This window comes from Homo sapiens, chromosome 3 (genome assembly GCF_000001405.40).
Source record: "Homo sapiens chromosome 3, GRCh38.p14 Primary Assembly".
Classification (NCBI taxonomy): Eukaryota; Metazoa; Chordata; class Mammalia; order Primates; family Hominidae; genus Homo; species Homo sapiens.
The window spans coordinates 13,310,579-13,322,693 of NC_000003.12; the positions used below are offsets into that span (position 1 = coordinate 13,310,579).

The 12,115-nt window shown below is 53.8% G+C and overlaps 1 protein-coding gene across 4 annotated transcripts in view, besides 1 other annotated feature; it reads right to left on the reverse strand.

Annotated features, from left to right (window-relative positions):
* Nucleotides 1-5,656: 5,656 nt before the first annotated feature.
* Nucleotides 5,657-12,115, reverse strand: part of NUP210 (nucleoporin 210) — a 104,088-nt gene continuing 97,629 nt past the window's right edge. For all 4 annotated transcript variants that reach the window (NM_024923.4, XM_047447797.1, XM_047447795.1 and 1 more), the window contains 6 exons: nt 11,615-11,761; nt 11,007-11,257; nt 9,185-9,401; nt 8,652-8,747; nt 8,494-8,577; nt 5,657-7,203 (listed from right to left, as the gene is read on the reverse strand). In NM_024923.4, coding sequence (NP_079199.2) covers nt 7,103-7,203; nt 8,494-8,577; nt 8,652-8,747; nt 9,185-9,401; nt 11,007-11,257; nt 11,615-11,761 — 896 coding nt within the window. In that variant the 3' untranslated portion in view covers nt 5,657-7,102. The remainder of the gene's footprint in view (nt 7,204-8,493; nt 8,578-8,651; nt 8,748-9,184; nt 9,402-11,006; nt 11,258-11,614; nt 11,762-12,115) is intronic.
* Nucleotides 11,849-12,048: a silencer, noted in NCBI's record as "fragment chr3:13363927-13364126 (GRCh37/hg19 assembly coordinates)". NCBI's record gives its function as "represses an EF-1alpha promoter that drives an FKBP-Casp9 reporter gene in an ReSE screen in K562 erythroleukemia cells {active_cell/tissue: K562}" and the evidence as "EXISTENCE:reporter gene assay evidence [ECO:0000049][PMID:32094911]".

Here is a 12,115-nt window from a genome sequence, read left to right on the forward strand (position 1 = left end):
TCTCAAGAAAAAAAAAAAAAAGACGAAGGGCTAGAACGTAGAGGTTAAATGAGACAAGTTATAATAGTAGTTTTTTTCTGTCTATTTTTTGAAAAACAAAACAAAACAAAACACACCTTGGAAGCCTATGAGATCATGCTAACAAGAGCCTACATTGAGTAGTAGGCATGGGGGTTTGTTAAATTATTTGTTGTACTTTTCTGTTAAAAGTTTTTTCTTTTCCTTTTTTTTCTTTCTTTTTTTTTTAGATGGAGTCTCACTGGACTCACTGCAACCTCCACCTCCCGGGTTCAATCGATTCTCCTGTCTCAGCCTCCCAAGTAGCTGGGATTACAGGCGCATGCCAGCACGCCCAGCTAATTTTTGTGTTTAGTAGAGACAGGGTCTCACCAAGTTGGCCAAGCTGGTCTCGAACTCCTGACCACAGATGACCTGCCCACCTCAGCCTCCAAAAGTGCTGGGATTACGGTGTGAGCCACTGCGCCCGGCCAAAACTTTTTTTTTTTTTTTTTTTTTTTTTTTTTGAGATTGAGTCTCGCTCTGTCGCCCAGGCTGGAGCGTGGTGGCGCGATCTCGGCTCACTGCAAGCTCAGCCTCCTGGATTCATGCCATTCTCATGCCTCAGCCTCCCGCGTAGCTGGTACTACAGGCACCCACCACCATGCCTGGCTAAGTTTTTGTATTTTTAGTAAAGACAGGGTTTCACTGTGCTAGCCAGGATGGTCTTGCTCTCCTGACCTCGTGATCCACCCACCTCGGCCTCCCAGAGTGCTGGGATTACAGGCGTGAGCCACCGCACTGGGCCCAAAACTTTTTTCTTATAAAAAAAATTATGAGACATTTTTTCTATGTTAAACATTGTTTATCATTTTTTTATTAAAAATTATTTTTAATAAAAAATTATTAGTAGTGGTGGTAGCAGTAGTAGAGACTCTGTCACCCACCCTGGAGTACAGTGGCTCCATCACAGCTCACTGCAGCCTCAAACTCCTGGCCTCAAACAATCCTGTCTCAGCTTCCTGAGTACCTGGGACTACAGGCATGTGCCACCACACCTGCTAATTAAAAAAAATTTTTTTTGGCCAGGCACAGTGGCTCATGCCTGTAGTCCCAGCACTTTGGGAGGTTGAGGTGGGTGGATCATTTGAGGTCAAGAGTTTGATACCAGCCTGGCCAACATGGTGAAACCCTGTATCTACTAAAAATACAAAAATTTAGCCAGGCGTGGTGGCAGGTCCTGTAATCCCAGCTACTCGGGAGGCTGAGGCAGGAGAATCACTTGAGCCCAGGAGGGAGAGGATGCAGTGAGCCGAGATCGCACCACTGCACTCCAGCCTGGGTGACAAGAGACTCCGTCTCAAACACCACCACCACCACCACCACCACCACCAACAACAACAACGGCCGGGCGCGGTGGCTCACGCCTGCAATCCCACCACTTTGGGAGGCCAAGGCGGGCAGATCATGAGGTCAGGAGTTTGAGACCAGCGTGGCCAACATGGTGAAACCCCGTCACTACTAAAAGTACAAAAATTAGCCACGTGTGGTGGTAGGCACCTGTAATCCCAGTTACTCAGGAGGCTGAGGCAGGAGAATCACTTGAACCCGGGAGGTGGAAGTTGCAGTGAGCCAAGATTGTGCCACTGCACTCCAGCCTGGGAAACAGAGTGAGACTCCGTCTCAGAGGCTGAGGCAGGCGGATCACCTGAGGTCAAGAGTGAGACCAGCCTGGCTAACATGGTGAAAACCCATCTCAACTAAAAATACAACAATTAGCTGGGCGTGGTGGTGGGCGCCTATAATCCCAGCTATCGGGAGGCTGAACCAGGAGAATTGCTTGAACCCGGGAGGCAGAGGTTGCAGTGAGCTGAGATTGCACCATTGCACTCCAGCTTGGGCAACGAGAGTGAAACTCCGTCTCAAAAAAAAAAATTTTTTTTAGAGACAGGAGCTCCCTGTGTTGCCCAGGCTGGTCTTGAACCCCTGAGCTCAAGTGATTCTCCTGCCTCGGCCTCACAAAGTGCTGGGATTACGGACATGAACCACCACTCAGCCAAAAAATTATTATTATTATTATTATTTGTTTTTTGAGACAGAGTCTTGCTCTGTCGCCCAGGCTGGAGTGCAGTGGTGTGATCTTGGCTCACTGCAAGCTCCGCCTCCCGGGTTCACACCATTCTCCTGCCTCAGCCTCCCAAGCAGCTGGGACTACAGGCGCCCGCCACCACGCCTAGCTAATTTTTTTTTTTTGTATTTTTAGTAGAGACGGGGTTTCACTGTGTTAGCCAGGATGGTCTCGATCTCCTGACCTCATGATCTGCCGGCCTCGGCCTCCCAGAATGCTGGGATTACAGGCATGAGCCACCGCGCCTAGCCAAATTTTTTTTTATAAAAAGTTTTTGTTAATTTTTTTTCTTTTTTTTTTTTTTGAGATGGAGTCTCGCTCTGTCGCCCAGGCTGGAGTGCGGTGGTGCTATCTCGGCTCACCGCAAGCTCCGCCACCCAGGTTTACACCATTCTCCTGCCTCAGCCTCCTGAGTAACTGGGACTACAGGTCCCGTTACTCAGTCCCACCACCACGCTCAGCTATTTTTTTGTATTTTTAGTAGGGACGGGGTTTCACTGTTAGCCAGGATGGTCTCGATCTCCTGACCCTGTGATCCGCCGCCTTGGCCTCCCAAAGTGCTGGGATTAGAGACATGAGCCACCGCACCAGGCCTTTTAATTTTTTATGAAAAGCATTTTTCCTTATAAAAAATATTTTTCTATGTTAAAGTTTTTTTTTATGTTAAAAGTTCTTTTTTTTTTTTTTTTTTGAGATGGAGTCTTGCTCTGGTGTGATCTTCGCTCACTGCAACCTCCACCTCCCAGGTTCAAGTGATTCTCCTGCCTCAGCCTCCTGAGTAGCTGGGATTACAGGCACATGCCTGGCTGATTTTTTTAGTTTTAGTAGAGACCGGGTTTCACCATATTGGCCAGGCTGGTCTTGAACTCTTGACCTCAAGTGATCTGCCTGCCTCATCCTCCTAAAGTGCTGGGATTATAGGCGTGAGCCACCATGCCCAGCAAAAGTTCTTCTTTATGATTATAAAATAATTCATGAGACAGTCCACAGCTGAGCTGGTCTGAGGGAAGTGGGTGCAAGGCTCCCACAGTGGATGCCCCTACCCAGGAGGGCAGAAGAAGGTACACATCGGGGGAGCAAACTCTGGTGCCAGTCAACCAGGATTTGAATCCTGGTTCTGCCACTTGCCAGTGTGTGACCAGGCGAGTGGCTTCACCTTGTGGGCCTCGGTTTCACCATCTGTAGGTGGATGGGCCTGCCTCCTAGGGCTGTGGCGGGGATGAAGTGAGCTGGTGACTGGAAACGCTCAGCATGTGCTAGCAGGTGGCGTGCAGGAAACAGCGGCGGCTTTGAGCATTCACCCTGCCTCTCGGCTTCTTCCAGCCATCTACACGGATCTACAGACTGCTGGGAACCATGCTGGTGGCCAGAGGTGGTTCTGTCAAGTTGGCTTCATTTGGCGCTGGCCCAGGTGGCTTGGAGTTGGCTGAAAGGAGTGGTTTGGAAGAGACTGAGTCAGCCCTCTCTGTTTTCTGTCCTGTGGTCCCTCCCTTCAGCCAATTCTCCCCTGAGCTGTGTCTGGTGGGCACTCTCAGCCTGTTCTGAGTTTCAGCCTCCACCTGCCCCCCTGAACCCTGCTCCTCTCCACACTGACCTGAGGCTCAGGATGTTCCAGAAAGTAGAACCCAGAGTTGGGGAAACCCAGAATCACATTCCTTCATGGGGGTTCATTCATGCATTCATTCCACAAACCATCCTGAGAACATCCCTCCCACTGTGGCCCTGCCATAAGGCTGCAATGGAGAGTGAGGCTGGGCAGGATGGTTTCATGTGGGCACAGGACTCACAATGATGGAGCGATGTGTCCTGTGGAGCCACATTCCCATCCACCCCCATAGCAGCCTCTAGTGTGTGGCTGACCACACCCTTGCCCAAAGAAGGAGATGGGAGCGCAGGAGGGGGCAGGCCCAGCATCGCACAGCCTTGCTGTGCCCTGTCCTCAGAGGCTCCTGACTGGGTGCCTGGCTAGGCCTGAGGCCAGGGATGCCCAGGACACCCTGTCCCAGCAGGATGGGCTGAGAGGGCCCACCAGACAGCCCAGAGGGAATCCACAAAGGGAGGGAACATGAGAGACGGAAAACATCTGCCTTCACTGGATTCAGCCAGAAGGGAACCATAGCATGTTTCTTACCTGTCACAGGTTGCTGCAACACTGCTGCCTACCACGCTGTCCCCAGGAACCATCACTCTTTTCATAGCCGTGGGCTGCAGGCCAGGTGATCCGGGATTGGCAGGTCCCTTGCAGGTGTCCTTCCTCCTGCTTGGACCTGCAGCTACCTGGGCTTCCTGATTACTACATCAATGGCAGGGGCATGAGGAGGGTGAGGGATGCCCAGCACAGACCCATGGTCCTTCTCACCCATGCCAACCAAAGCAAGTCACATGACCACACCTAGCCTCAATGGGCAGAAGGAACTGCAAAGGCATGTGGGAGAGGGCGTGCACAGAGGGAGGCTGAGGGTCTGGGGACAGACCCTCAGGAAGCACCTGCTTCCTGCTGGGAGCCACTCTGGGCAGGTGGTGGGTAGGACACATGTCAGGAGGGCCCTTTTGCAGGTGAGGAAACTACTGTGGCCCAGAGAGATAAATTTCTCTCCAGCCCCAGAACAAAGTGGACCTAGACTCCTGGTCACCTGATTGCTAAGCTCTCACCAGCCTAGACCTGTGCTACCCACCCCTGACACCCCAGGTTCAGTGCTCCCTGCTACTGAGTGTTCGCAGACTTTGTGATGTAACATTTCCAGGATGCGGCCGGGCACCGTGGCTCACGCCTGTAATCCCAGCACTTTGGGAGGCCGAGGTGGGCGGATCACGAGCTCAGGAGATCGAGACCATCCTGGCTAACATGGTGAAACACTGTTTCTACTAAAAATACAAAAAATTATCCGGGCGTGGTGGCGGGCGCCTGTAGTCCCAGCTACTCAGGAGGCTGAGGCAGGAGAATGGTGTGAACCTGGGAGGCGGAGCTTGCAGTGAGCTGAGATCACGCCACTGCACTCCAGCCTGGGTGACAGAGCGAGACTCCATCTCAAAAACAAACGAAAAACAAAAACAAAACAAAACAAAACAAAAAAACATTTCCAGGATGCAGGAATGCACATGTAAGCATGCACAAAGACACACAGAGAAACAGAGAACGAGAGTTCACTTTTGGCCAGACTTAAGAATTCTAGAGAAAAAACAATCTATATGATGTACTATATTTTTAGTGCTAAATGGTGCTAAAAGCCTTTTCTGGCAACCATTAGAGACAGAGAGTTGCTTGGTTAGCTTGGGAGCAGAAAGCTGAACTGTGTGGCATCACCTGGTTTTGTCAATGTGCCTTCTTGGGCACACTCACTTGCTGGCAAGATCTGGCTGCGTCCAGATGCACTTGCATTTGCCAACCTGAATGTGCTTGAAAATGATGCTCACCCTTTGGGGAGAATAAAGCTCAGACCTCCAGCTCTGCCAGGCCCCAGAGTATCATAGATGGGTAAAGGGAAGAAATCATCACCATCAGACAGAAATCTCAGCAACGATCACACCCTCTTAAAAAATCACATAGAACTTTATTAAATAAACCAGTAGAAAGGCTCCTATTTACATCCAGGTTGTCAGTTTAAGCTCAAGTAATATGCAAGGCACAATTCTTCCTTTCTCCAGCTTTAGAAAAATCAACCACATGGCCCAGCCCTGAAGGACTGAAGGGAGCTTGTGCGGGATCCCGTCATCCTGGACTCTCCACACAGCGTCCACGCATGGATGGCCATGGGCATGAGTCTCTGGATCTCCCTGAGGGTAGCCCAGCCTCGGCCTGGAGCACAGGGGCCTGTGATCTGAGAATCTCAGATCCAGAATCAGGAGCTGGGAAGAGAGGACTTTTCCAAGGGTCTCCTCCCCCAGGCCCTGGGGAGTCCCTTCTGGATGGGCAGGCCCTGGGCTGGCGGCCGCCCTCCATCATTGGCCCAGGCCGGGCTCTAGGGCCTGCTGGGAAGCTGTCTGGGGCCCTGCGCCTGATGAGCTGCCATGAAAGTGGCCGCCTCTCACACTGGCAGGCGGTGGCTCAGATCTGCTGAGGTTCTGGAGTGGCACAGGAACAGGAGGAGCAAATGACACTGGGTCTTTGTGCTGAGGCAGGACACAGCGGCTTTCCGAAACACACACACAGAAAATATGACTCCTGCTGCCATCTCAAGGACATTTTCCTAAGGACAGTCCTGGTGTCCTGATGGAGTGAAAGGGATCACACGTGGGATGTCCCAGCAGGGCCTAAGCCAAGTCCATCAGATGTCTCAACGGCTTATGAAACAAAAACAGAGGACTGAAGTCTGTTCACAGTGGCCCATGGTTGGGCAGCAGCCCTGGGTGAGCTCCTGTGTTCTCCAGCCTCTCGCTCACCCAGGGCTTGGCTATCCTGGCCTCCAGGTGCTGGTTCCTGAGGCTTCCCTTGCGGCAGTGGCGCAGATACAGGGACACTCATGTCCCATTGCTCCTCAGAAGTCCTAGCAGCAGCCAGACTAGGGGCAAAGTAAGTTTTCACAGGGGGAAAAACCCCACCAAAAACCCCCTAAAGTAACTGGACAATCCTTTCCCTGAGACCACTACAGTAACATCACCCACAGACAACTTCTAAAGAGCACTTCTAACTGCTCAAAGTCTTGAGAAGGGAAAGATTTTAGCAAGGCTAGGAAAATAAAAATGCAACAGCACATTGTCCAGAAACCCTAGACAACCATGCAAAAAGGAATGAGCCAAAAAGTCTTAGCTTTGTAAGACTTGAAAGGAAAAAAACACACATTTAAAACTCCTACATAAAATGAGCTAATGGGCAGAGCCGAAACTACAGCTCTGTGTGAAGAGACGGCAGTGAAGCTGGCCTGGGGCCGGGGCACTCATCTGGAGGGGCTTGTTCCAGTGTGAATGCAGCAGGGATGTTCCATCTTGGGGGTGCACGAGGCTCGGCTGAGACCCATCCTCCGGGAACCTTCACGCGGCCTAGTGGGAGGCATAGGCTGGGCTCCACAGCCCTGAGGGAGGGCTGGCTTTGCGAGCAGGAGGCAATGCATTGGGAGATGTGGGTGATGAGGCAGCGAAATCTAGGGTGGGAAGAGAGACGATGTTAGCAGCAGAGCCAGGGAAAGCGGCGCACTCTTCAGTTACAGCCAGCATTCAGCAGGCGCCTGCCTCACCCAGGACACTCTCACAGTGATGCCCCGAGGCCTCCCCGGCCAGCAGAGGGAAGTCCACGGGCACCTGCTGAGCTGGCCTCATTCACACAGAGAGGCCTGGGATGCCACCCTAACACCCAGGAGCGCAGAGCCTTCCGGGGAGAACGTGTCTCAAGTTTCAGGACCACAGCAGCATCTGTCCAGGGGGCATGAGGCAGGGAGGCCCCGTGCATCTGAATGCAATGCAGCCTCGGGCAAGAGCGCCACAGGAACAAAGACCCCGAGGGGAGCAGCGATTCTGCAGTGCTCCGGAGACCTTGCAGAGATCCAGGTGTGGCTCCCAAAACCCAGGGAGGAGCACGCTGAGAGAGGCAGCTAGAAAGGGCAGGCACCTGCTGCCAGAGCAGCTGCAGAAGGCAGCAGAGCCGCGAGGAGGCCGAGCACCCGTGGCCTCCCCTGGGTGCCGCTTTGCAGGTAGAGAAGTCGTCAGGCAGAAGACAAGGGCGTGTGGGCTCTCCTTACCCAGGAAAGTGCTTCTACCCACACAACTGGGTCTTCTTTCAAAAAAATTCAGGGACCCCCCTGAAGCCGGTCCATGGGCCCCCATGTCAGCAGACACGAGCTCGAGGACTCTTTGTGTAGGGGAGAGAACCCTCAAATGGGAATCAGGAGACATTAAAGGGCCTTCACGTACAGCAGTACAGGCTGGGCACTGCATTGTTTGAGAGAGAAACTACATTCACACAGTGAGGTGCTCCCTGGAGCTGTGCAGGGTCACCAGGGCTTCGGGGTCACCAGAGAGACAGTTAGACCATTGAAATAAATGACTTTGCCCATTCTTCTGGGAAATTTCTCATCAGAACTACCCAGAATCCCCATCTGTGAGTCAGCTCGTCCAACCCCAGCTTAGAGCCTTCTGAGGCAGCCTCAGCAATTGGGCATCCAGTCCTAGCATGCACTCCTGCCTAGACAGAGCTCCTTGCTGCCCATACCTCCACCCAGCATGGCTCTACCTGGGGAAAGCTCTTGCTGAACCAGGACTGGCAGCCCCTCTGCCCCGACCCTCCTGGCTCCCACATCTGTCCTCTGGGCCTCAGGCTCCTTTGGCCCAGGCAAGGGCCTGTTGAGACTTAGGGTTCAGGAGCCTCGACCCCTCCCCCAGGGCTCTTCTCTTTCTCAGCAGCTCTGCCTGGTTGTGCCTGCAGGGGGGCTACTCACAGTGGGGGCTGTGTCCAGGGCTGGCTCGAGGCGTGAGGGCTGCAGGCACAGCAAGATCCCGGGGCGTGCAGACAGTGTGGTAGGCTGCAAGAGCACAGGGTTGGTTAGAGCAGGTCGGGGCAGGGGAACAGACCCAGAGATACAGGCAGCCTCCTCACCTATGATCATGACCGCTGTCCCAGCCAACAGGGCGAAGAGCGTGAAGAACATGACCTGGTAGGAATCCAGGAAGTGCTGGAAGAGGCTGGCTCCATCTGCCATCAATGGGAAGATGAGTTACCAAAACCACCAGGCCCACTGTGGCATCCCATCACGTTCCTGCCCTACTGTACGTCTACAGGGCAGTCCACAGGTCCCTCTTAGATGTAAGGATGGTGGTCTCAGAGGGCCAGGCCACCTGCTGGAGGCCCGGGCCCACAGCTGTTCTTGGTACCCTGGCACTTCTTCTCCTGGCGCAGGCTGCTGAGCAGAGGGGCACAGCCCCTGTGGCTGCCATGTTGAGAACAGATGGGAAAGCTGGGCAACTAAAGCCTGCATCATGGCCCCAATGAGCAGCGATCACTTTGAGGGACATTCTGCATTTCTGACTCCTCCATTTCTTACACCTCAGGTTTCTACTGATAGCCAGGACCACTCCTGCCTGTCCCTCCCCATCCTGGTCTGTCCCAGATGATGTCGTTCCGTGACTCACAAGGACCGGGCCCACGGCGATCCACCACAAAAGCCACTGTCACTGGGATGGCAATGGCTTGGTTGGTCACGGGGCTGGAGAAGGTCAGGGTAGTGGACAGAGGCCCTTGGCTGCCAGCCGCGGGGTCCAAGACGCCGACCGTGTATGTGATGAAGCTGGGCCACCCAAAAGACTTCTCCTTTGCGAATGCCAGCACGGCCGGGGACCCGGATTTCACCTGGAAGAGACATCAGAGCTGGGGGTGCACATTCTGCAGAGTGGGGGGACCACTGAGCGGGGCCTCAGGACCCCGAGGCGGGAGGGCTGCTCTGCATGGCCATCTCTGGAAGCACCCCCGCTTCAGCCTGACATGCTGGGCTTCCCTCCTGGGGCCCAAGGGTACAGGTGGGGACCCCTGCCCAGGTCACATCTCATGGGCAGGTAATGACACCTGGGCACTGCTCATGGACGGCGTGTACTCTGCAGAGTCGGGAAGCCCTGTCCATACTCAGGGTGTTTTTTGAGGGAAGGACAAATCAATATGAATGTCAGAATCAAATTCAAGCTCATTTAATTCTAATCAACTGCTGCTTACAAAAAGGCTAAACCAGGCTGGGCGCGGTTGCTCACGCCTGTAATCTCAACACTTTGGGAGGCTGAGGCGGGCAGATCATGAGGTCAGGAGATCGAGACCAGCCTGGCTAACACGGTGAGACCCTGTCTCTATTAAAAAAACAAAAAATTAGCCGGATGTGGTGGCAGGCGCCTGTAGTCCCAGCTACTCAGGAGGCAAGGGTGGGAGAATGGCATGAACCCGGGAGGTGGAGATTGCAGTGAGCCAAGATAGTGCCACTGCACTCCAACCTGGGCGACAGAGCGAGACTCCGTCTCAAAAAAAAAAAAAAAAAAACTTTGGGAGGCCAAAGTGGGCAGATCACAAGGTCAGGAGATCGAGACCATCCTGGCTAACATGGTGAAACCCCGTCTCTACTAAAAAAAAATTAGCCAGGTGTGGTGGCAGGCACCTATAGTCCCAGCTACTTGGGAGGCTGAGGTAGGAGAATGGCATGAACCTGGGAGGTAGAACTTGCAGTGAGCCCAGATTGCGCCACTGCACTCCAGCCTGGGCGACAGAGCAAGACTCCATCTCAAAAAAAAAAAAAAAGGCTAAACCAACATGAAGTATCACCAAGCACCAGCTCTCCAAGGTAGCAGCCCGAGCTCTGCTCACGCCGCCAGCGGGCTGGCCCTCCTCCCTCATCAGCGATGCTGAGCATTCCCTGCCTCTGCAGAACATGCGATCACGCTGGCTGCAGCAAGGCAGGAGGAGCAGGCGGAAATGCCGAGGAACTCCTTGGTTCTCTCACCCCCGAACTCTTCCCAGCCTGCCAGGCTCTGGGCCTGAGGGATCATTCACCCACCAATCCCACCCCGTGACTTAGTCATGGGGGAAGTGAGGCCTGGAGAGAGGGGACTTGTCCCAGCAGGGATTAGGGCTTTCCTCCCTGCTCTGTGGCAGATGCTCCTGCACTGAATTCTGCGATGCCACGCACCACACGCTCACTGGCACCTTTTCTGGGGTTCTCACTGCTGCCCCCACAAGCTTAACTTGTAGCTGGGGAAGACCAGCAGCGGTCAGAACAATTAATACAATCACGCAGCCTGAGAGACAGCAACAGTGCTATGGAAAAAGAAAAGAGTACTTCAATTTAAAAATTCTAATTGTAAAAATAAATTTTAAAGAGAGCTGGCCCAGGACATCCACACCACATTCCCTCTTCCTCCAGGGCCTTCCTGATGCCCCTGACTCCGGCCTGGCCTGAGGCATGCAGATGCCACTCACCTCCAAGTTCTCCAGAACCTCCGGGGCACCAAAGACCCTGATCTCGGAACTGGTGTAGTGGTTGCTCAAAAGGATTTCAGCCTGGTCGGCGAAGAGACCTGGGCTGAAGGGCACCTCGGCCCCCACCTGCTCTGTGGAGAAGTGGCTGCTGGAGAGGGAGGCACTGACCACCAGAGCTGTCTTCTTCATGCTCAGGTGCTTCCGCTGCTTGTCCGTCAGCCTGTGCATTGTGATTGAGCAGAAGTACTGGCCTGCGAAGACAAGGGTGTATTGTCTTGTCCCCTCTCCTGCCCGTGCACTGATGTCATTTCTTCTCCCTGCTTCTCTAACCAGGGGATTCCTATGCATCCTCCAAAGCCCAGGTGAGAAGTCACCTCCTCCAGGAGTCCTCCTGGGAATCCCCTATAAAGGCCTTGGCCAAGCTAGGATACCCTCTGTGACCAGCAGTCCTCCCAAGTCCCCCTGGCGTCAATCCCCAGGCTGGGCTCCTGACAATCTCTGCCCTCTGGACAGACGGCCATGGTGAGCTGGGCACGTGGAAGCCGCAAGATGCCCAGAAGACAGAGACTGTCTCCAAGTCCCTTTCACTTTCAAATCCTCGCAATTACCGAGAGCAGTGTCAAACTGTGGCTCCACGGTGAACACATCTTGAGATGGGAAATCAAAGACGGCCGGCTTGAACTGGGACTGGCAGCTGATGAGGGTCTCTGGGTGCAAGGCCTGGATGACTTCCCTCTGGGTGGGGGTGCACTCGCCTAGAGAGGGGAGAGACGAGAGGGTGTGGGCCAGGCCCGATGGCCACCACACCAAATTCCACCAGGCCTGCACAGGCTGGCTGGGCTGCAAATGCCACCTGCCCCTGCATGTCTTCCAGCAGGGCCCCAGGGCGGCTCAAAGCTTTGAGATGCAGCCAGGATTGGTAAAGCCAAGGACATATCATATGGAAGAGGATGCCATCGGCATCACAGGGAGCTTCAAGTCAGAATTTCAGCATTTGTTCCAGACCTTGCATCCAGGGGCACGGCAGACGGGCTAGGCCCACTAATGCCTGTCTTCTGTCCCTGTCAGCAGGGGAAACGGCAATTTACTTCTGCACATTCAGAGGGCAC